The sequence below is a fragment of the Homo sapiens genome, chromosome 12 (genome assembly GCF_000001405.40).
Source record: "Homo sapiens chromosome 12, GRCh38.p14 Primary Assembly".
Classification (NCBI taxonomy): domain Eukaryota; kingdom Metazoa; phylum Chordata; class Mammalia; order Primates; family Hominidae; genus Homo; species Homo sapiens.
In genome coordinates this window covers 101,054,765-101,079,844 of record NC_000012.12, presented here as the reverse complement: position 1 = coordinate 101,079,844, position 25,080 = coordinate 101,054,765, and the positions used below count along the sequence as shown (strand labels likewise).

Genomic DNA, 25,080 nt, shown 5'->3' with positions numbered 1-25,080 from the left:
GGGACAGTGGTGGGCTGAGTCTGGCCCTCCTTGGCAGTTTTGTCTAGAGCTGGCCCTCCATTTAACCACGTCTCCCAAGGTGGCCGCTTCAGAGTGGATTGTCCCCAGCACGGAACACTTGATGTCATACTTCAGAGCCTGTGCACACCTGGGCACGGTCCTGGGTGCTGCTCACAGACACACTGCCTTTGGGTAATTCTCTTGGAAGGATTGCTTCCATGTACCTGGAGATGTCAAATGAATGCTCTTTTTCTGCTGAAGTTAGAGAAAAAAGGATGATTTTTAAGAAAATGGAAAAAAAAAGCTACACCACCAATTCTTCTGGTGCCTCTACCTACAAGTGGAATTCTCCACTTAATCAAGGGATTTGATTCCACTAAGGAATCAAAAATTTACAAAAATTGTCAGTCCATTTTTATACTGCTTGAAATTTTCTGAAAAGGCAATTGAAAATGCTTTATGAGTACACCTGACTTCCGTCACAGAACAGAGAGTGACAATTTTGGGGGGGGGTCGTGTGGTTCTGGGTGATTTGCTTTTTACAACATTCTGAGGTAAATGATACAAACCTCCTCTTCTTCCCAGTCTATCAAATCCCAGTCATAAGCAATTACTGCTCGCCGTCTTTTCCAAAACTCCAGGAAAACTGTTGCTGGAACAAGCAGAGAAAGACAAAGACATTTTTGAATAAAAGTAAAACAAGGCTCTTAACTGTGTCACTGAATAATGAAGCCATTGCCAAGAATGACAGTTGTTAGTGTAAGCATCATCGAATATCAGAATTTCCAGCTGAGCTTCATTTCACAAGGACTATTTTCTGAGAATTACTAAGCTTGTGTCAGACATAATGAAAAACGAGAGATTTCACTTAGAATTGAATTAAGCTGATTTACAAGTTGAGGCAGAACAGACTTATTAGAATGACAAATTCTTACATTCTGGGATGTCAGGATTCAGAAAACTGGGTTACCGACATCTATCTAATTGATACAGCATTTATTTTTTTTTATTTTATTTTTTCTATTGCCTAAACATGGGTAAGCAAGCACTTATTTTTTAAAGTGAGAGGCAGGTAGGAGCAGAAAAGTCAAAATGAAACTTGGCAGTTCACATGTATTTGATAGTGATTTCCTGTCCCTTCAAATCCTCCTCACAGCAAATACCTATGTAAAATATATTTTCCTGTTTTACTGGAAGGAGTCCTGTTGTTTCTCTTTTCTCCAAACCATTTCTTTGTTGCCACAATGAGGGTAAAAGTGGGTAAGTCTATTAAGAACTTTCTCCAGTAAGTGCGAGGTGGCTGGCCTCCCCATGCAGAGAAATCTGGGAGTTATCTTCATTCAGCCAAGGTAATTTTCTACTCAATTTAATGAAAGCATATCAACTTAAATGAATTATTGAGCATTATGCAATAAAAGAGAAACAGAGAGAAAATAAGACACACTCCTGCTGCCTTGGAAGGCAAAATGCAAATACAGGGGCACACACACACACACACACATGCATACAGACACACACACACTCTCTCACTCACACTCTGAGAATGACTATAAGGATATAACAGACATACCCTAGGAGAGAGAATGGGTGGATATTTCTCTTTTGGGCCTTGTCATGCAGTTAGACTTACAGAAGGTAACAATAAATATATATTAGGAATCCATTTCATGAAGGAAAGTAAATTATGTAAATGGCCATGTCAAAAAAATATAATTACTTTCTTCTTTTCTATTCTCCCTTGTTCACACATTACTTCCTCCTTAGTAGTATGCAGACACTGAAGACATATTCTTAAAATAAGTAGCTAGAAAGACAGTCTAGAGTGATAGATAAGAGTTCTCGGGCATGTAGCCTAGACAGTCCTAAATTTGAAATCCAGATCAGATACAAGCTGTGCTACTGTTGGCAAATCAATTAACTTTTCTAAGCCTTAATTTCCGGATAAGCAAAAGAAGGAGGGTAATACAGGTCCACAATCCCTTATCTGCAATGCGAAAATTCAAAATGCTCTAAAAATTTTAAGTGTTTTTCCCCTAAGTTTGGCAGAAACTCATCTGGTGGTGAGCCCTGACCTGGACTGATGTGAGGCTACATATAACCTCTATTTATTCTTCTTAGTGAGACTTTTCATGTATTAAAAGCAGCCATACTAATGTATTTGAGTACATTAGTATGTATTCCCCAGGCCTCCTGGGGCATTTAATAATATATGGTATATTCAGTGCCTTCCTAAAATCTGAAAGATTCTGAGTAGTTACAGTTGTTAAGGAAGATACACCTAAAATAATCAAATGTCTTATTCTGGAAGATAGAAATTAAAACAAATATATGTGCTTATCTGTGTCAATGCTGAGCAGCTGTTTTCTACTGGAGTCCTTCCAGTGAGTCTTGCTGTCTCAGGAATCCCCAAGACCATCCCCAGGTTTGATTTACTAGGAAGATTCACAGGACACAGAATACAGTTGTACTGATGGCTAAGATTTATTACAGTGAAACACTATAAAGCAAAATCTGCAAAGGGAAAAGGTGCATGGAGCAAAGTAGGGAGGAAACAGGACAAGCTTCCAAGTCGTCTCCCAGTGAAGTCACACAGGATGTACTTAATTCCTCCCCAATGAGCTGTGACAACACATGTGAAATGCTGTTTGACAGGCAAGCTCGTTAGAAACTCAGTGCCCAGGGTTTTTATTGGGGGCTGGTCACATAGGCACCAGCTGCTTAGCATGTACTAAAATTCCAGAGTTTCAGGGAGAAAGCATAAATTGTATTGTTGGCACATGTAGTTTATGCATCACGAGTTACCCTTAGCAGTCAGGGTGGTGGAAACTGTCTTGAAAGCCAAGTTCCCAGACACCAGCCAAGGGCCACCCTTGCAAGCAGGCCTTTCTAAAGCAGGCCTGCTGTGTTAACTCTTTGCTGCACGCTTGCCCTCTGCCTCACCAAACTGTCTTTGCACAGAGTCCCTGGGATATTTCCTTTATCAGGTCCTCTAGCCCCTCAAGCAAATGCCACTTTATAAAGACTTTCCCTCCTTGGTCTCTAGGGTCTCCCTGTTCTTGAAGAGACAAGTGGCCCAGCCCCTGAATATGTGGCTATTTTCCATAAAAATCACAAAGGTACCTCCATGAGCATAAAGACACTTGATGGGGGACCATTCTGGGACAGCCTCAGGCCATAGGATTCACATCCAGTCTGTCTTACTGGCAGCTGCTGCTCTCACTACGCCCTACCAACCCTCTATGGTTCTCATCTGAGGGAACTGACTTCTAAGATGAGCCAGTGGCTGTCACAATTATTCCATCACCCTTCTTCAGTATTCCTGCTGAATCCTGCCTGGAGGAAACAGAGATTCTAACCATTAATTCCCTGTGTTAGTCTGTTCAGGCTGCTGTAACAAAATACCATAAACTGGGTAGCTTCTAAACAATAGAAATTTATTTCTTACTGGTCTGGAGACTGGGAAATATAAGATCAAGGCACCAGCAGATTTGGTGTCTGGTGAGGGTTGCTTTCTGGTTCTTAGATGGCACCTGCCAGCTGTGCCCTTACATGGTGGGAGAGGTAGTTAGCTCTCTGGGGTCTCTTTTATAAGTACAATAATCCAACCATGATGGCTTTGCTCTCATGCCCTAATCACTTTCCAGAGGCCCCCCTTACTAATACCTTCACCTTAAAGAATAGGATTTCAACATATGAATTTGGGGGAACATAAATATTCACACTATAATATTCCCTTTTTTGGCTAATAATCCTCTCCTTTCTTCCATTATAGTACTCAATAGGAAGAGAAGAAGAAATTAGCTGCTTGTGCAACTGCCATTCCCTTGTCGGTATGTTTGGGTGAAATGCCCATTCATTTGAGGAAGAAGAATCTGCCTCTATTTGTACCTATGAAACGTAGTCAAACCAAGACAGGTTGTCTCTTTTCAAGGCAAAGTTCCAATCCCTCATTATGCCATGGTTTAAACTCCCTCCTCTGAATACTCACAGCCTTGGGAGCCCCTGCACTTTCAGTGTGCCTAGTTATACACTGTCTTATGTCATGAGCTCACACTTTCTTGTCTCCTTCAAAGGTGGTTTATGCTATACATATTTTTGTTATATATATATATATAAAGATATATATATTTGTTTTATATAAAGATATATGTATCTTTATGTTTTATATAAAGATATATGTGTATGTGTGTGTGTGTATATATATATATTTCTCTTATACTACCTGGCACTATGATAAGTTTGATTAAAAAGTGTATTTCTTTTATGACTTTGTTCTCAAAAGACGAAATTCCTAAGAGTTTTGTCAAGTGTTTTTTTTTTTTTTCTTTTGGCACATGGAACTCTTTCCACAAGAATTTTCTCAGCTAAAGCATCAGCATGTTTAGCCTTACTGCTGGCATTTTGAACTCCTTAGATTCCAATCTATCATTTTACATTGCTAATGATTTCTCTAAATCCAGATCCAACCAGGTGTCTTGGGAATCAGTGGAGCCACATCACCTATAGAATAAAATCTGTTAGCAGCTCACGATGCAAAGCTCATAAGCCCAACTCGCTCTGCCCTGACTTGCACTTCAGACTCCAGGCTAACTCACTAACACTTTCACACATGAGCTGTTTTATACTTTCTCAGTTTGCCCACACCATTTCCTTAGCGAGTAATGTTTTTCCCTATTTGGGTCCATCTGGTCAACTCCTACCCTCACTTTCAGGTTTAGCCCCGTGTGTTCTGTAACTACGCCCCCTGAATCATCCCTGTGCACCCATGCTGAGTTGTGCACACAACTCTAGGTCAGCGCTAATCACACCATTCAGCACTGTAAAAACAAAACCAATAAAAACCCAAACCCAGATCATATCTATGACTAGTTTGTGGACTTCTTGAGAGCAGAGCTGTATCTTAGTTGTCTTTATACCTTCAGAGTCTAGCACAGCAACTGGCACGCAGAGAGGCTCCATAAATGCATAAATGAAATGCTGTCCTGAGAATGAAAGCAAATGTGGAAAACTATTCTTAATTTTCTAAATATTTTCATATGCTTATAAGAAATTAAGATATGAATTTGAAGAATATGCAGCTACACTTTCTGAATGCTTTACACACCAGGGCCTATTAAATAACTTAATAATAGTATCAACGTTTGAAGCTTATTATGCTTCTCTTTTGTCTTGCAATAAAAGTGTGATTCTGTTCTAACTATCACTCTCATTATTTGGTTGTATGGACCCTGTGGCAGAGACTACTGACTGTCCTCTAAGATTCTTTCTTGCTTTCCTCCACAATAAAATGATTGTTGCTGAGAATATGGTTGCCTACATATATTGTATTTTCCAGATACCCTTGCATTAGATGTGACCAAAGGATAGTTCTCAGCAGTGAAATATGAGCACAGGTGATATGATGTGTAGTACTTGCCTGTTGACTTCTTAAAACATTGCGGGGTGCTTTTTCCGTATCCACTTTCCCCTTCTGGACGGGTAGAACCCAGGTGACCCAGTGAGACCGTGAAAGTGATGACAGGCTCTGGGGTTATGGGAAACAGCTCTTTTGTAGGAACATGAGTCCCTGAGTGACCATGTGGAGTGGAGCTGTCTGCCAGCCTGGAATGCTCACTTCATACTTATACATGTGATAGAAATTAATTTCTGTGTTTTTCAAAGCCACTGCCTTTGTGCTACAGCGATCTAACCTTATCTTAATGAACATAGGCATTTTACCTTAATGGAGATGAAGTCACCTGGTCACTAAGACATTGCATTGAAGGCATGAAGATGAAACAACCTGTCTACCATTTCCCTCACAGATCTTAGAAAAGGACACTCTCAAGCCACAACATCTGACACTCGATTAATTGTATTTACAAGACAGAGTTTTGCATGCTTTTTCTGCTCCATTTTCTACCTTCACCTCCACCATGTACCTACCTATCCACAAATAAAATCTACCCACAAATAAAAATAAAAATAAAAACATACCCACAAATAAAGTTCATCTGAGGTGTTAATAATGCCAATCCCAAATAGCAATCTTCTCACAACGTTAGTCGACATATTAGGAAAATCTGAGGATTCCACTCTCTAAGTAAAGGTAGGATCAGGGGTAGTGTTCAGGCAGGTTAGTGTTCAGATACCAGGACACTCTTGGTTCAGAATCACAGACCGTTGAGAAGGGTGTCTCATAAGGCCCATCACAGACACAAAAGGGACAGGGCTGAATGTTCTTCAGGCCACACCCTATTATTTTCTTTTATTATTATTATTATTATTATTATTATTATACTTTAAGTTCTAGGGTATATGTGCACAACGTGCAGATTTGTTACATATGTATACATGTGCCATGTTGGTTTGCTGCACCCATTAACTCGTCATTTACATTAGGTATTTCTCCTAACGCTATCCCTCTCCCTGCCCCCCACCCCACGACATGCCTTGGGGTGTGATGTTCCCTGCTCTGTGTCCAAGTGTTCTCACTGTTCAATACCCACTTACGAGTGAGAACATGCGGTGTTTGGTTTTCTGTCCTTGTGACAGTTTGCTGAGAATGATGGTTTCCAGCTTCATCCATGTCCTTGTAAAGGACATGAACTCATCCTTTTTTATGGCTGCATAGTATGCCATGGTGTATATGTGCCACATTTTCTTAATCCAGTCTATCATTTGGGTTGGTTCCAAGTCTTTGCTATTGTGAATAGTGCCGCAATAAACATGTGTGCATGTGTCTTTACAGTAGCATGATTTATAATCCTTTGGGTACATACCCAGTAATGGGATTGCTGGGTCAAATGGTATTTCCAGTTCTAGATCCTTGAGGAATTGCCACACTGTCTTCTACAATGGTTGAAATGGTTTACACTCCCATGAACAGTGTAAAAGCGTTCCTATTTCTCCACATCCTCTCCAGCATCTGTTGTTTCCTGACTTTTTAATGATCACCATTCTAACTGGTGCAAGATGATATCTCATTGTGGTTTTGATTTGCATTCCTCTGATGGCCAGTGATGATGAGCATTTCTTCATGTGTCTGTTGGCTGCATAAATGTCTTCTTTTGAGAGTGTCTATTCATATCCTTTGCCCACTTTTTGATGTTTTTTTTTCCCTTGTAAGTTTGTTTAAATTCTTTGTAGATTCTGGATATTAGCCCTTTGTCAGATGGGTAGATTGCAAAAATTTTCTCCCATTCTGTAGGTTGCCTGTTCACTCTGATGTTACTTTCTTTTGCTGTGCAGAAGCTCTTTTGTTTAATTAGATCCCATTTGTCAATTTTGGCTTTTGTTGCCATTGCTTTTGGTGTTTTAGTCATGAAGTCTTTGCCCATGCCTATGACCTGAATGATGTTGCCTAGGTTTTCTTCTAGGGTTTTTATGGTATTTTCTTAAATAGAACAATTATTATCAATTTCAAATAAATTTGTGGCAGGCTGCTGTGCATTTACCAAAATGATTTCTTATCCTCCTAGGCATAGTTTGATTATATTTTTGCAGCCTTTATCTCAGATGTGTCCACAAACCAAGTTTAGGCTAATAGAAAGTAAGAAGTGATATATGTCATTTTTGGACAAAGAGTTAAGAAGTAGGTATATCTTCCCTGTGCTCTCTTTATACTTTAGCTGAATGAAGAGAGAGAATGCTGAAGATCCAGAAGGGGATGCAGCCACAAGATGGAAGGAACTCATCCACCCATATGAAAGATCATAAGGAAAACCATCTGCCAACCAGGAACATCTGACTGGGCTCTATCAAACACCAGGTTGTGATGTTTGTGTATTATAGCAGCTAACTTTACTCATCCTAACTAATATAGGGTTTTTCTGGAAAACATAGCAATGGTTAACATTCTGCAAATAGGGAGGAAAAAACACTGAGTTACTATAATTCATCACGTTACTAAGGCATTTAGACAGACTTATACAGTTAAAAACTCCCCTTTCAGATGCATAGCTTAGGTTCCAAGGAAGGGTTAAAATGCTGTACCTTTTTTAATTTAATTTTTTTATTTTTAATTTTTGTGGGTACTTAGTAGGTGTATATATTTATGGGGTACATGAGATATTCTGCTACAGGCATGCAATGCATTATAATCACATCATGGAAAATCGAGTATCTATCCCCTCAAGCATTTATCCTTTGTGTTACAAACAATCCAGTTATATTATTTTAGTTATTTTAAAAAGTACAATTAAATTATTATTGACTATAGTCCCCATGTTGTGCTGTCAAGTACTACGTCTTATTCATTCTATTTCTTTTTGTACTCATTAACCATCCCCCCTCCTCTTCAGCCCTCCACCCCCAACCACACTATCTTTCCCAGCCTCTGGTAACCATCTTTCTATTCTCTACCTCCATGAGTTCAATTGTTTTCACTTTTGGATCTCACAAATAAGTGAGAACAACATGTGAAGTTTGTCTTTCTGTGCCTGGCTTATGTCGCTTAACATAATGACTTCCAGTTCCCTCCATGTTGTTGTAAATGACAGGATGTCATTCTCTTTTTTTTTTTTTTAATGGCTGACTAGTACTTCATTGTGTATAAGTGCCACGTTTTCTTTATTTATACATCTGCTGATGGACACTTAGGTTGCCTCCAAATCTTGGCTATTGTGAACAGTGCTAGAGCAAGCATAGGAGTGCAGATATCTCTTCAATATATTGATTTCCTTTCTTTTGAATATATACCTGATAATGAGATTGCTGGATCATACAGTAGCACTATTTTTGTCTGTGAGGAACCTCGAAACTTTTCTTCATAGTGGTTGTACTAATTTATATCCCCACCAACAGTGTAGAAATGTTCCCTCTTCTCCACATCCCTGCCAGAATTTGTTGTTGCCAGACTTTTGGATAAAAACCATTTTAACTGTGGAGAGATGATATCTCATTGTAGTTTTGAGTTGTATTCCTATGATGAGCAATGATATTAGCACCTTTTCATATGCCTGTTGGCCACTTGTAGGTCTTCTTTTGAGAAATGTCTATTCAAATTTTTGGCTATTTTTAAACAGTATTATTAGGTCTTTTTCCTACAAAGTAGTTTGAGCTGCTTATATATTCTGGTTATTAATCCCTTATCAGACGGATAGTTTACAAATATTTTCTCCCATTTCTGTGGGTTCTGTGGGTTGTCTCTTCATGTTGTTTCCTTTGCTGTGTAGAAGATTTTTAACTTGACGTGATCCCATTTGTCCATTTTTGCTTTGATTGACTGTTCTTGTAGGGTATTAATCAAGAAATCTCTGCCCAGTCTCATGTCTTGGAGAGTTCCCCAATGCTTTTTTTTAGTAGTTTCATAGTTCGAGGTTTTATATTCAAGTCTTTAATCCATTTTGATTTGAATTTTTGTATATGCGGAAAGATAAGGGTCTAGTTTCTTTATTCTGCATATGGATATCCAGCTTTCCTAGCACCATTTATTGAAAAGACTTTTCCCCAATGTATATTCTTGGCAACTTTGTCAAAAATGAGTTCACTGTAAGTGTGTGGATTTGTTTTGGGGCTCTCTATTCTATCCCATTGGTCTATATGTCTGTTTTTTTATGCTAGTACTTGGCCTTTTTGGTTACTATAGATCTACAGTATAATTTGAGGTCAGGTAATGTGATTCCTCCAGTTTTGTTGTTTTTGCTCAGTATAACTTTGGCTATTCTGAGTCTTTTGTGATTCCACATAAATTTTAGGATTATTTTTTCTATTTCTGTGAAGCACATAATTGGTATTTTTATAGGGATTGCATTGAATCTGTAGATTGCTTTGGGTAGTGTGGGCATCTTAACAATATTGCTTCTTCCAATCTATGAACATGGACTATTTTTCCATTTTTTGTGTCCTCTTCAATTTCTTTTTTTTAGTAGCATGATTATTTTATTATATACTTTATAAAAAAACAAACGCCAAAGACATACACTGTCCCCTCTCCCCCCATCACCTCCCACAGACACTATGGAAGGAGCTCATACTTTTCCTAATGTAGATCTGGCCATCTTATAAAGTAGACCACATTATCAGTTTCCATATATACCCGTAGATACTTTTCTCCCCTCAAATATTTATATCTCGATTTAAAAAAAGGAGGTGCCAAGAGTACATAAAGACAAATGAGATTTTCTTGCTGTTGTTATAGTACAAACACCAGATGACTACCAGGGGAGTAACAGGGGGCAAAACAAAAACACAAACCCCACCTTCAGTGAGGAATGGAAGGTCTGTTACCTGCCTCAAGTTGCTGAATCACCTGCTGTAACTGGCACCTCCCTGACATTCATGGGTTTGTAGGACATGGGCCAGATGATTGCTTCTACTTGTTTCCAGAAGGCATATGTCTCCTACATCCTCTCTTAGTAACTAAAGACATACTACAGGAGAACTCAGTATTTAGATTCTGCCCAGAGGTATTAAATGCACAAGGAAAAATTAGTTATGTCCAAATAGCAAGCAACAATATTTTTAAACCAACATGGTTAAATGTTAAGATTTGTAGAAATCAAAATATTTATTCACATAATTTTAAACTAAAGTTGAAGACAATAAATCTTCCGCTGGTAATGATTTAAGTGCAAGTGATGTTTGGCTTTCTTTCACATTCATTTCTTTTCTTCAGAGTGAAGGCATATCAGTTATTCTTGAACAAGTCAATACAGCTCTGCAAAAGGGAGACACTGTTCCTCGCATGTTTTATTTCCAGTTCAGACATTTCAATTAGATTCTTTCTAAATGCTGCCACTTTCTTCCGTTTGAAATTTATCAGTTCTTCCTTTGCAGATTTGGAAAGCTATTCAAATTTCTGGCAGCACTCCTCCTAGTGTACCTTAGCCAACTTGACATCTTTGCTCTTTAAACTGGGCCTTATCCAGAGCTTTGTTTGATTTTTCATAGTCAATGAGGGCTTTGGTGCATCTGTGTAAGAGATCCTTAGCAGCTTCGATGTTGAGCATGTAGTATCGGAGGAGCTCTGTTAGCTTTAAATCTTCATCTGATGAGATTCAACCCTCTACTTTCCTAAGTTTTTCAAATAGCTCAGCAACCTTCAATAGATACTTTTTGATGACTGTGGGCTCTTCTAAAGCCAGGCTATGTAAGCAGGCTGCAGTGTGAATATAGTCATCGGCAACATTTTTATGAGATCTGGTCATTTTGTCAGCTTTCACACAAGAATCTTTGATCCTACTCTAATAGTTAATAAGGAAGTCATTCTCTTGCTCAAAGAAGTCATCTACCTCCTTAACTCCAGTAAAAAGGACTGCATCAGCACTTTCACCACACTTTTGAAGAAGCCACCAAACATCTCTTTAGTATTTTTCCACCTAACACTTAGATCCTGATCATATTCCAGGAAAATATGAAAGTTGCGATCTTTACTGAGAACAGGGTGAGAAGAAAGCCACTAAAGAAAGGCTTCATGGGAGGACACAGTCTTCTTAAAAACAGCGAGATACTCAGCTTCCAGTTCTTATTTCATCTTGGCAAATTCTTCTTTGGTCAAAGACCCTTTACCTTCTCCCAGTTTCTGCATCTTCTCTCAAGGACCATTGAAGTCAGCCTTCGTAGGAGCAGGCGGAATCTGCAGCAGAGGCAGGAACTCATGAGTCTCTTGTCCCAGAAGCGATGTTTTCTAGCTGGTGCCTCGTTCTACTCTTGCTGGTCCACAGGAGACAACCACTCCACTCCTATGGGGCTATTTAAAAGTCAACTCCTGTTTTTTCTTAACCTTCCTTATTTCTTCTGGCCATTTAAAAGGAGGTATCTTCCTGTATTCACTTTGATGGCAATCATTTGCCCAGTTTATCCATTACAGACAATCGTTCAGAGCACAACAGTGTCTATACTGCTTCAATGTTGGCCTAAAACTAGTACAACAAATGCTAAACACCAATGATTAGCCATCAAGATTATGAAGTCTCCAGTATTCCAAAGGATTTTTTTCCTAATCCCAAAGGATAATCAAGGACTTTGATTTTGAATGAACAGAACATATCTAAATATAAGCTTCAGTACTAATTTTGTTCAATTATTAAGAAATTGTCATTTGGACAGATTCTTCAGTCTGCATGGCAGGACAAAATGCATGGAAATCTCCTTTAAAATCAGCTAAGCCTCTGTTCCTGCAGCCAAGAATTAACAATCAAGGGCTGAAAACTGCCTCCTTGAGCACTTTTTTGTTTTTGGGAGACAGAGTCTCACTCTGTCACCCAGGCTGGAGTGAAGTGGTGCAACCTCGGCTCACTGCAACTTCTACCTCCCAGGTTCAAGTGATTCTCATGCCTCAGCCTCCCCAGTAGCTGGGACTACAGGTATGTGCCACCATGCTCAGCTAATTTCTTATATTTTTAGTAGAGACAAGGTCTCATGATGTTGCCTAGGCAGGTCTTGAAATCTTGAGCTCAGTAATCCATCCACCTCAGCTTCCCAAAGTGTTAGGATTACAGGCATGGCCTCCTTCAGCACTTTTGAGAAATCTTATCACATACTATTACCAATACTAATGTTTCCTAGAAATCAATTCTACTGACATTGGAAAGAACATACCAGAGAAAAACCAAACCTAAAGGTAAATAAGACTAAAGTCATTACACTGTTTATACCACTTTACAACATAAATAATGTAAGCCTGTATGCATTACCTCAAAGCTGTAACACTATTCCTTCACATATTTTCCACTTACCCAATAGTTAGCAAATACTCTAGTAGGTAGATGAAATCAAAATTTTCACAATCCATTATAAAAAGTGGATATAAGTCTCTTTAAACTAAATGAATAGCAAGGCAGAAAGAACTAGCTTATTTGATTTTCTAAAACACTCACAATAAGCCCAGCATGGTCTGTTCTTTCTTTTTTTTTTTTTTTTTTTTGTTATACTTTAAGTTCTAGGGTACATGAAGAGTGTCATGTAGTCACACAAAGTCCTCATGTTGCCTTGTAACAGAAAACTCTGGATTCTGAAATGTGGGCAGTGTGGTCTTTGTGTGCACTGTAAATTTGACCTTATCTCTCTCACTGAGCGCATCAGGTATGTCAATCTGAAGTGAGGGATCAACATTCAGGTCCACAGATACAGATCTCAGCTTCCTGTGGTCCTCCTCCTGCTGCTGCAGCAACTCAGGAACTGTGGCCATGGCAACGCAGGACTCAAGCAGGTGCCACCTGACCTTGCTGTGCTCCAGGAGGAGGCCGCCGACCGCAGGGCCATGATGGGGACGCAAAGCCATGGATACTCTCCCAGCAGGGCATCTCTAGAAAAAGCCTCTTCCATTTCTTTCGTCAGTGTTCTATAGTTTTCATTGTGGAGATCTTTTGCTTCTTTGGTTAATTCCTAGTTCTTTGATTGTATTTGTAGCTATTGTAAATGGGATTACTTTCTTGACTTCTTTTTCAGATTGTTCACTGCTGGCATATAGAAATGCTACTGATTTTTGTATGTTGACTTTGTATCCTGCAACTTCACTGAATGTATCAGCTCTAATAGATTTTTGGTGGAGTCTTTAGGTTTTTTCCAAATATAAAATCATATCATCTGTAAACAAGGATAATTTGATGTCTTCCTTTCCAATTTGGGTGCCATTTATTTCTTTCTCATATTTGATTGCTTTAGCTAGGACTTCCAGTACTATGTTGAATAACAGTGGTGAAAGCGGACATCCTTATTATGCTCCAGATTTTAGAGGAAGTGTTTTCACTTTTCCCCACTCAGTATGATACTAGCTGTTGGTCTGTCATATGTGGCTTTTATTATGTTGAAGTATTCTCCTTCTACACCCAGTTTTTTGAGGGTTTTTATCATGAATAAATGTTGAACTTTATCAAATTCTTTCTTTGTCATCAATTGAAATGATCATATGGTTTTCATCCTTCATTCTGTTGATATGATGTATCACACTGGTTGACTTGCATATGTTGAACCATCCTTGCATCTCTGGAATAAATCCCACCTGGTTATAATGAATGATCTTTTTCATGTATTGTTGAATTTTGATTGCCAATATTTTGTTGAGGATTTTTGATTCAATATTAATCAAAGATATTGGCCTGTAGTTTTCTTTTTTTGATGTGTCTTTGTCTGGTTTTGGTATCAGGGTAATACTGGACTCATAGAATGAGTTTGGAAATATTCCCTCCTCTTCCATTTTTTAGAACAGTTCAAGTAGGATTGCTATTAGATCTTCTTTAAATGTTTGGTAGAATTCAGCAGTGAAGCAATTGGGTCCTGGGCTTTTCTTTACTGAGAGACTTTTCAGTATGGCTTCTATCTTGTTACTCATTATTGGTCTGTTCAGATTTTGGAATTCCTCATGGTTCAATCTTGGTAAGTTGTATGAGTCTAAGAATTTGTGCATTTCTTCTAGATTTTCCAATTTATTGGCATATAGTTGCTCATAGTATCCTCTAATAATTATTTGAATTTCTGTGGTATCAGTTGTAATGTCTCCTTTTTCATATCTGATTTTATTTATTTGGGTCTTCTCTCTTAATAATCAATGAAATTTAGATAACACTATAATTAACAACAGCAGAATATACACTAGTCCCCTTTTATCCACAGGTAATACATTCCAAGACCCTCAGAAGATGCCACAGATACTACTGAACCTTATATATATATTGCACAAATTTCTGTTTCCTTCTTCACAATTTCATGCATAGAAGATTCTTACCAACTGTAAGAATATATCTTACAGTTGTATATCTTAGCAACTTCAGTGTAAGATTTTTTCTTTTCTTCTTTACTTATTAAGTTGAGAACTTTCACCTTTTCACTTAAACAAAGCACTTTACAGCTTCTCTTTGGCATACCCAAATTGCCAGCATCAATACTCTTGCACTTCGATGACATAATTAAGTAAAATAAGGGTTACTTGAATACAAGTACTGTGATACAGTGGCAGTATCTGATAACCAAGACGGCTACGAAATGACTAATGGGCAGGTAGTGTGAACGGTGTAGATATGCCAAACAAGGAATGATTCACATCTCATGTGGGAGGGAGCAGGACAATGTGAGATTTCATCATGCTACTCAGATTTGTGCACAATTTAAAACTTATGAATTGTTTATTTCTGGAATTTTCCATTTAATATTTTTGGACCGTTGTTGATAGTGGGTCACTGAAACTGTGGAAAGCAAAACTGTGGAAAAAGGGGAACTACTAATCTTTTATTATTATTATTATTATTATTATTATTATTATAATACTTTAAGTTCTGGGATACATGTGCAGAATGTGCAGGTTTGTTACACAGGTATACATGTGCCATGGTGGTTTGTTGCACCCAATAACCCATCATGTACATTAGGCATTTCTCCTAATGCTATCCCTTCCCTAGCCTCCCACCCATCAACAGTCTCTGGTGTGTGATGTTCCCCTCCGCGTGTCCATGTGGGGAACTACTAGTCTTTTCAAATGTACTTGGAACATTTTCCAAGATATCATACTGTGGGTCATAAAACATTTCTCAGTAAATTTAAAAGAACTGAAACCACACAAACTATGTCCTTTGAATGAAGTTAGAAACTAACAGCAAGTGGAAATTTAGAAAATCTCCCAAGCATTTGGTAATTAAACAATACGCTTCTACATAGTAACTCACAGATCACAGAAGAACTCACAAAGGAAATTAGAAAATATTTTGGACTGATTAAAAATAAAAACACAATTTGGGGGATATAGCTAAGCAGTGCTTAGAGGAAATTTATAGCATTAAACTCATATTTGAAAATGAGAAAGACCTCACATAAATAATTAGGCATTTACCTTAAGAAATTAGAAAAAGGAGCAATTAAATGCAAAGCAAGCATGAGGAACAAAATGAAAGATAACAGCAAAAATCAATGAAAAATGAAACATAAAAACAATAGAAAAACATCATTAAAACCAAAAGCTGGTTCTTTAAAAGATCAATAGAACTGATAAACTTTTAGACAGAATGAACAGGAAAAGAGAAGACATTAATTACCAATTTCAGGAATGACCAATATGATATCATAACACATCCTATAGGAATTAGAAAGAAGATAAGAGAATATTATAAACAAATTTATGCCAATAAATTCACAAATTGACTCTTTCAAAGGCAAAAAAAAAAAAAAAAAAAAAAAAAAAAAAAAAGATAACCTGGACAACCTTCCATCCATTAAATGACTAAGATTGCATTAAAAGCCTTCCTGCAAAGAAAACTCCAGGCCCAGGTGGCATCACTGGTACAATTTACCAAACATTCAAGATGGAAATAACACCATTTCTACTTTCTAGAAGAAAGTACGTTTCCTAACTCACTTTATGAGGCCAACATCACCTCAATAACAAAAAGACACTAGAAGTAAAAAGTTACAGGCCAATAACCCTCATGAAGATAGATGGAAAAATCCTGAAAGTATTTTAGCAAATCAAATATTGCAACACTCATAAAAGGTAATATATTATGATGAAGTGGGATCCTTGGAATGCAAGATCATCCTATTATTTCATAATGAATCAATTTAATTAATATATTGTCCAGCTTTTAAGAAACAGGATTGAGAACAGAAGATGGCTGAATAGGAACAGCTTCAGTCTGTGGGATCAGTGCAAAAGGTGGGTGATTTCTGCATTTCCAAATGAAGTACCCAGCTCATCTCATTGGGACTGGTTAGACAGTGGGTACAGCCCACGGAGGGCAAGCCAAAGCAGGCTAGGGCACTGTCTCACCCAGGAAGCACAAGGGGTCGGGGAACTCCCTCCCCTAGCCAAGAGAAGCCCTGAGGGACTGTGCTGTGAGGAATGGTGCACTCTGGCCCAGATTAGTATCTTTTCCCATAGTCTTCATAACCTGCAGACCAGGAGATTCCCTCAGGTGCCTGTGCCACCAGGGCCCTGGGTTTCAAGCACAAAGCTGGGCAGCCTTTTGGGCAGACACCAAGCTAGTTGTAGGAATTATTTTTCATACCCCAGTGGTGCCTGGAATGCCAGCAAGACAGAGCTGTTCACTCCCCTGGAAAGGGGGCTGAAGCCAGGGAGCCAAGCAGTCTAGCTCAGCGGATCCCACCCCTACGGAGCCCAGCAAGCTAAGAGCCACAGGCTTGAAATTCTTGCTGCCAGCATAGCAGTCTGAAGTTGACCTGGGATGCTCAAGCTTGGTGGGGGGAGGGGTGTCCGCCATTGCTGAGGCTTGAGTAGGTAATTTTCCCCTCACAGTGTAAACAAAGCCGCCAGGAAGTTAGAACTGGGTGGAGCCCACTGCAGCTTGGCAAAGCCACTATAGCCAGACTGCCTCTCTAGATTCCTCCTCCCTGGGCAGGGCATCCCTGAAAGAAAGGCAGCAGCCCCAGTCAGGGGCTTATAGATAAAACTCCCACCTCTCTGGGACAGAGCACCTGGGGGAAGCAGTGGCTGTCGGGGCAGCTTCAGCAGACGTAAATGTTCCTGCCTGCCAGCTCTGAAGAGAGCAGCAGATCTCCCAGCACAGTGCTCGAGCTCTGCTAAGGGACAGACTACCTCCTCAAGTGGGTCCCTGATGCCCATGCCTCCTGACTGGGAGACACCTCCCAGCAGGGGTCGACAGACACCTCATACAGGAGAGCTCCAGCTGGCATTTGGGGGGTGCCCCTCTGGGCTCAAGCTTCCAGAGGAAAAAATAGGCAGCAATCTTTGCTGTTCTGCAGCCTCCACTGCTGATACCCAGGCAAACAGGGTCTGGAGTAGACCTCCAGCAAACTCCAGCAGACCTGCAGCAGAGGGGTCTGGCTGCTAGAAGGAAAACGAACAAACAGAAAGGAACAGCATCAACATCAACAAAAAGGATGTCCACTCAAAAACCCCAGGTGAAGATCACCAACATCAAAGACCAAAGGTAGATAAATCCACGAAGATGAGGAAAAAACAGCACAAAAAGGCTGAAAATTCCAAAAACCAGAATGCCTCTTCTCCTCCAAAGGATCATAACTCCTTGCCAGCAAGGGAACAAAACTGGATGGAGAATGAGTTTGACGAATTGACAGAAGTAGGCTTCAGAAGGTGGGTAATAACAAACTCCTCCAAGCTAAAGGAGCATGTTCTAACCCAATGCAAGGAAGCTAAGAACCTTGAAAAAAGGTTAGAGGAATTGCTAACTAGAATAACCAGTTTAGAGGACATAAATGACCTGATGGAGCTGAAAAACACAGCATGAGAACTTTGTGAAGCATATACAAGTATCAATAGTCGAGTCGATCAAGCAGAAGAAAGGATATCAGAGACTGAAGATCAACTTAATGAAATAAAGTGTGAAGACAAGATTAGAGAAAAAAGAATGAAAAGGAACAAACAAAGCCTTCAAGAAATATGGGACTATGTGAAAAAACCAAACCTACATTTGATTGGTGTACCTGAAAGTGATGGGGAGAATGGAACCAAGTTGGAAAACACTCTTCAGGATATTATCCAGGAGAACTTCCCCAGCCTACAAAGACAGGCCAACATTCAAATTCAGGAAATACAGAGAACACTACAAAGATACTCCTGAGAAGAGAACCCCAAGACACATAACTGTCAGATTCACCAAGGTTAAAATGAAAAAAAAAAAGTGTTAAGGGCAGCCAGAGAGAAAGGGTTGGGTTACCCACAAAGGGAAGCCCATCAGACTAACAGCAGATCTCTCTGCAGAAACCCTACAAGCCAGAAGAGAGTGGGGGCCAATATTCAACATTCTTAAAAAAAAGAATTTTCAACGCTGAATTTCATATCCAGCCAAACTAAGCTTCGTAAGCGTAGGAGAAATAAAATCCTTTACAGACAAGCAAATGCTGAGAGATTTTGTCACCACCAGGCTGGCCTTACAAGAGCTCCTGAAGGAAGCACTAAATATGGAAAGGAAAAACTGGGACCAGCCACTGCAAAAACATACCAAATTGTCAAGACTATTGACGCTATGAAGAAACTACCTCAACTAACAGGCAAAACAACCAGCTAGCATCCTAACGATAGGATCAAATTCACACATAACAATATTATCCTTAAATGTAAATGGGCTAAATGCCTCAATTAAAAGACACAGGTTGGCAAACTGGATAAAGAGTCAAGACCACCCATCTGTGTGCTGTATTCAGGAGATCCATCTCCATGCAAAGACATACATGCGCTCAAAATAAAGGGATGGAGAATATTTACCAAGCAAATGGAAAGAAAAAAAAAGCAAGGATTGCAATCATAGTCTCTGATAAAACAGACCTAAACCAACAAAGGTCAAAAAAGACAGAGAAGCGCATTACATAATGGTAAAGGGATCAATGCAACAAGAAGAGCTAACTGTCCTAAATATATATGCACCCAATACAGGAGCACCCAGATTCATAAAGCAAGTTCTTAGAGACCTACAAAAAGACTTAGACTCCCACACAATAATAATGGGAGATTTAATACCCCACTGTCAATATTGGACAGATCAATGAGACACAAAATTAACAAAGATATTCAGAACTTGAACTCTGCTCTGGACCAAGCGAACCTAATAGACATCTACAGAACTCCCCACTGCAAATCAACAGAATATACATTCTTCTCAGCACTACATTGCACTTATTCTAAAATTGACCACATAATTGGAAGTAAAACACTCCTCAGCAAATGCAAAAGAACGGAAATCATAACAAACAGTCTTTCAGACCACAGTGCAATCAAATTAGAACTCAGGATTAAGAAACTCACTCAGAGCTGCACAACTACATGGAAACTGAACAACCTGCTCCTGAATGACTACTGGGTAAATAACGAAATTAAGGCAGAAATAAATAAGTTATTTGAAACTAATGGGAACAAAGGCACAACGTACCAGAATCTCTGGGAAACTGCGGAAGCAGTGTTTGCAGGGAAATTTATAGCACTAAATGCCCACAGGAGAAAGCGGGAAAGATCTATAATTGACATCCTAACATCACAATTAAAAGAACTAGAGAAGCAAGAGAAAACACATTCAAAAGCTAGCAGAAGACAAGAAGGCTGACTAAGATCAGAGCAGAACTGAAGGAGACAGACATGAAAAACCCTTCAAAATATCAAATAATCCAAGAATTGTTTTTTAAAAAAGATTAAAAAATACATAGACCACTAGCCAGACTAATAAAGAAGACAAGAGAGAAGAATCAAATAGGCACAATAAAAAATGATAAAGGGGATATAACCACTGATCCCACAGAAATACAATCTACCATCAGAGAATACTATAAACACCTCTACACAAAGAAACTAGAAAATCTAGAAGAAATGGATAAATTCCTGGACACATACACCCTCCCAAGGCTAAACCAGGAAGAAGAAAAAGAAGAAGGAAGATGTCGAACCCCTGAATAGCCCAATAACAAGTTCTGAAATTGAGGCAGTAATTAATAGCCTACCAACCAAACAAAGGCCAGGACCAGAAGGATTCACAGCTGAATTCTACCACAGGTAAAAAGAGGAGATGGTACCATTCCTTCTGAAACTATTCCAAACAATAGAAAATGAGGGACTTCTCCCTAACTCATTTTATGAGGCCAGATCATCCTGATACCAAAACCTAGCAGAGACACAACAAAAAAAGAAAATTTCAGGCCAATATCACTGATGAACATCTATGCGAAAATCCTCAATGAAATACTGGAAAACTGAATCCAGCAGCACATCAAAAAGCTTATCCACCACAATCAAGTTGGCTTCATCCCTGGGATGCAAGGCTGGTTCAACATATGCAAATTAATAAACATAATCCATCACAAAAACAGAACCAATGACAAAAGCCACATGATTATCTCAATAGATACAGAAAAGGCCTTCGATAAAATTCAACACCGCTTCATGCTAAAAACTCTCAGTAAACTAGGTATTGATGGAATGTATCTCAATATAATAAGAGCTATTTATGACAAACCCACAGCCAATATCATATGAAGGGGCAAAAGCTGGAAGCATTCCCTTCAAAAACCAGCACAAAATAAGAATGCCCTCTCTCACCACTCCTATTCAACACAGTATTGAAAGTTCTGGTCAGGGCAATCAGGCAAGAGAAAGAAATAAAGGGTATTCAAATAGGAAAAGAGGAAGTCGAATTGTCTCTATTTGCAGATGACATGACTGTATATTTATAAAACCCCATCGTCTCAGCCCCAAATCTCCTTAAGCTGGTAAGCAACTTTAGCAAAATCTCAGGATACAAAATCAATGTGCAAAAATCACAAGCATTCTTATACACCAAGAACAGATAAACAGAGAGCCAAATCATGAATGAACTCCCATTCACAATTGCTACAAAGAGAATAAAATACCTAGGAATACAACTTACAAGGGATGTGAAGGGCCTCTTCAAGGAGAATTACAAACCACTGCTCAAGGAAATGAGAGAGGACACAAACAAATGGAAAAATATTCCATGCTTATGGATAGGAAGAATCAATATTGTGAAAATGGCCATACTTCCCCAAGTAATTTATAGATTCAATGCTATCCACATCAAGCTACCACTGACTTTCTTCACAGAATTAGAAAACACTACTTTAAATTTCATATGGAACCAAAAAAGAGCCCATATAGCCAAGACAATCCTAAGCAAAAAGAACAAAGCTGGAGGCATCACGCTACCTGACTTCAAACTATACTACAAGGCTACAGTAACCAAAACAGCATGGTACTGGTACCAAAACAGACATATAGACCAATGGAACAGAACAGAGGCCTCAGAAATAACGCCACATTTCTACAACCATCTAATCTTTGATAAACCTGACAAAAACAGCAATGGGGAAAGGATTCCCTATTTAATAAATGGTGTTGGGAAAACTGGCTAGCCATATGCAGAAAATTGAAATTGGACCCCTTCCTTACACTTTATTCAAAAATTAATTCAAGATCGGTTAAAAAATTAAATGTAAAACCTAAAACCATAAAAATCCTAGAGGAAAACCTAGGCAATACCATTCAGGACATAGGCATGGGCAAAGACTTCATGACTACAACACCAAAACCAATTACAACAAAAGCCAAAATAGACAAATGGGATCTAATTAAACTAAAGAGCTTCTGCACAGCAATGGAAACTATCATCAGAGTGAACAGGCAACCTATAGAATGGGAGAAAATTTTTGCAATCTATCCATCTGACAAAGAGCTAATATCCAGAATCTACAAGCAACTTAAACAACTTTACAGGAAAATACAAACAACCCCATAAAAAGTGGGCAAAGGATATGAACAGAAACTTCTCAAAAGAAGACATTTACACAGGCAACAAACATATGAAAAAAAGCTCATCATCACTGGTCATTAGAGAAATGCAAATCAAAACCACAATGAGATACCATCTCATGCCAGTTAGAATGGCAATCACTAAAAAGTCAGGAAACAACAGATGCTGGAGAGGATGTGGAGAAATAGGAACGCTTTTACACTAATTACACTTTTGGTGGGAGTGTAAATTAGTTCAATCATTGTGGAAACCAATGTGGTGACTCCTCAAGGATCTAGAACCAGAAATACCATTTGACCCAGCAATCCCATTACTGAGTATACACCCAAAGGATTATAAATCATTCTACTATAAAGACACATGCACACGTATATTTATTGTGGCACTATTCACAATAGCAAAGACTTCGAACCAACCCAAATGCCCATCAATGATAGACTGAATAAAGAAAATGTGGCACATACACAACATGGAATACTATGCAGCCATAAAAAAGAATGAGTTCATGTCCTTTTCAGGGACATGGATGAAGCTGGAAACCATCATTCTCAGCAAACTAACATAGGAAGAGAAAACCAAACACTGCATGTTCTCACTCCTAAGTGGGAGTTGAACAATGAGAACACATGGACACAGGGCAGGGACCATCACACACTGGGGCCTGTTGGGGGATAGGGGGATCGGGGAGGGAAAGCATTAGGAGAAATACCTAATGTAGATGACGATTTGAAGGGTGCAGCAAACCACGATGGCACATGTATACCTATGTAAGAAACCTGCACGTTCCACACATGTATCCCAGAACTTGAAGTATAAAAAAATAAAAGAAAGAAAGAAACAGGATTGTCTTAGTTAATACAGGAAAAGCTTTTGGCAAAATTCTATACCCATTCATGATTTTTAAAACCCTCAGTTCCTAATAATAGAAGGAATGTCCTTCAACTTGATAACAGACATATATGAAAACCTGTGGTTTCTATCATACTTAATGTTGAAAGACTAAACACATTCCCCTAAGACTGGGCATAAGGCAAGGATGTCTAGTACATAACTTGTATCCAGCATTATTCTGGAGGTCCTAACCAGTATAAGGCAAGAAAAAGAAATAAAACTCATATAGATTAGAAAGAAAGAAAACTTATTTATTTTATAAATTTCTTAATCATCTATGTTGAAAATATTAAGGAATCTATAAAAAAGCTAGAAGCACTAATAACTGAGTTTAGTAAGTCACAAGATATATGGTCAATATACAAAAGTTAATTGTATTTCTATGTAGTAGCAATGAATAACTGGCAATTGAAATTACAGAAAAATACTATTTGTAAAAAACTCAAAAAATCCAATATATAGGCATAAATTTAACAAAATATCTGGAAGCCTTGTACATTGAAAATAATAAGACATTGCTTAGAGAAATTACAGAATATGTAAATAAACAAAAAGCTAAATGACACTCAATCTTTCCAAACTGACATTGATTCAACTTAATCCCAATCAAAATATCAACACTTTTTTTGAAGAAATTTAAGTGCTGATTCTACAATTTTTTTGGAAATGCAAAGAACCTAAAACAGCAAAACAATTTTTGAAAAGAAAAATATGATTTTAACAGTTATTATGCCATAATAATCAAGACAGTGGATTATTGCCATGTGTACACATACACATCAAACATAATAAAAATTCTGAAAACAGACCCATACATATATGGCCCATTGATTTCAACCAAAATGTACCAAGAAAATTCAAAAAGGAAAAGAACGGCGTTTTTGACAAATGGTACTAGGAAAACTGGATATCTACATGGAAAGAAATAAATCTGCCCCTTACGTTATGCCATATACAAAAACCAACTTGAAATAAGTCATAAACCTAAACATATGAGCTAAAACGATAAGCTTTTTAGAAGACAATATAGACGAAAATCTTAGAAACTTTGAGTTTGGCAAAGATTTCATAAATAAAACAAAAAATGAGTGCAGAAGAAAATTTAAATTAGACTATATAAAAAGAAAAAACTCTTGGTTTTCAAAAGGCACCATTAAAAAATAAAAATGCAAGACTCAGACAGGGAAAAAAATTTGCAAACACCTGTAAGATGAAGCATTTCTACCTAGAATATATAAAAGTACTCTTTTAACTTAAAAATAAGACAGACAACCCAATAACAAATGGACAAATGATCTGAGCAAACACTTCACCAAGTAAGATGTGCAGATTGCAAATAAGCTCATGAAAAGATGTTCAACATCGCTACTCATTAGGGAAATGCAAATTAAAACTGCAATGGGATAATACCATATACCCACTAAAATGACTAAAATTATAAAGACTGACAATTCCAAGTGCTTGTGAGAATGTGGAACACCTGGAATTCTCATATCATGCTGATATTGACTACAAAACGATATGGCCACTTTGGGAAACAATTTCTTACTAAGTTAGGCATTCACTTATCACATGATCCAGCAATGCCACTTTTAATTATTCATCCAAGATGAATGGCTACAAAGGCTTTTATGAAAATTTACAAAAACAAAAAACTAGAAGAGCCAATAGTTTCTAGGTTTATTTATAGTAGTTAAAAACCATACTGAACCCAAATATTCATTAACTGGTAAGTAGACGAACAAATTATGACATAGCCAGGCTCTGGAATACTACTCTGTACTAAAAAGAAACCAGCTACTGACACAGGCAACAGCATAAATGAATCTCAACAGCATTAACTGAAGTGAAAGTAGCCAGACACAAAATGCTATATATTGAATAATTTAATCTGCATGAAATTCTAGAACAGCTGAAACTACAGTGGTAAAAAGCAGGTTTCAGGTTGCCAAGGGACTGACTGCAGAGGCATGAGGAAACTTTTGAGAGGATAAAAATGTTCTCTTAGGCCGGGCACGGTGGCTCCCAC

The 25,080-nt window shown here is 38.3% G+C and overlaps 1 protein-coding gene and 1 pseudogene across 16 annotated transcripts in view; both read right to left on the bottom strand.

The window, feature by feature from the left end:
- The window catches only part of ANO4 (anoctamin 4), a 411,381-nt gene that overhangs the window by 48,797 nt on the left and 337,504 nt on the right, over positions 1-25,080 (bottom strand). For all 16 annotated transcript variants that reach the window (XM_011537912.3, XM_011537911.3, XM_047428302.1 and 13 more), the window contains one exon: positions 570-652. In XM_011537912.3, the coding sequence (XP_011536214.2) occupies positions 570-652 (83 nt within the window). The remainder of the gene's footprint in view (positions 1-569; positions 653-25,080) is intronic.
- Positions 9,845-13,238, bottom strand: SNX5P2 (sorting nexin 5 pseudogene 2; annotated as a pseudogene).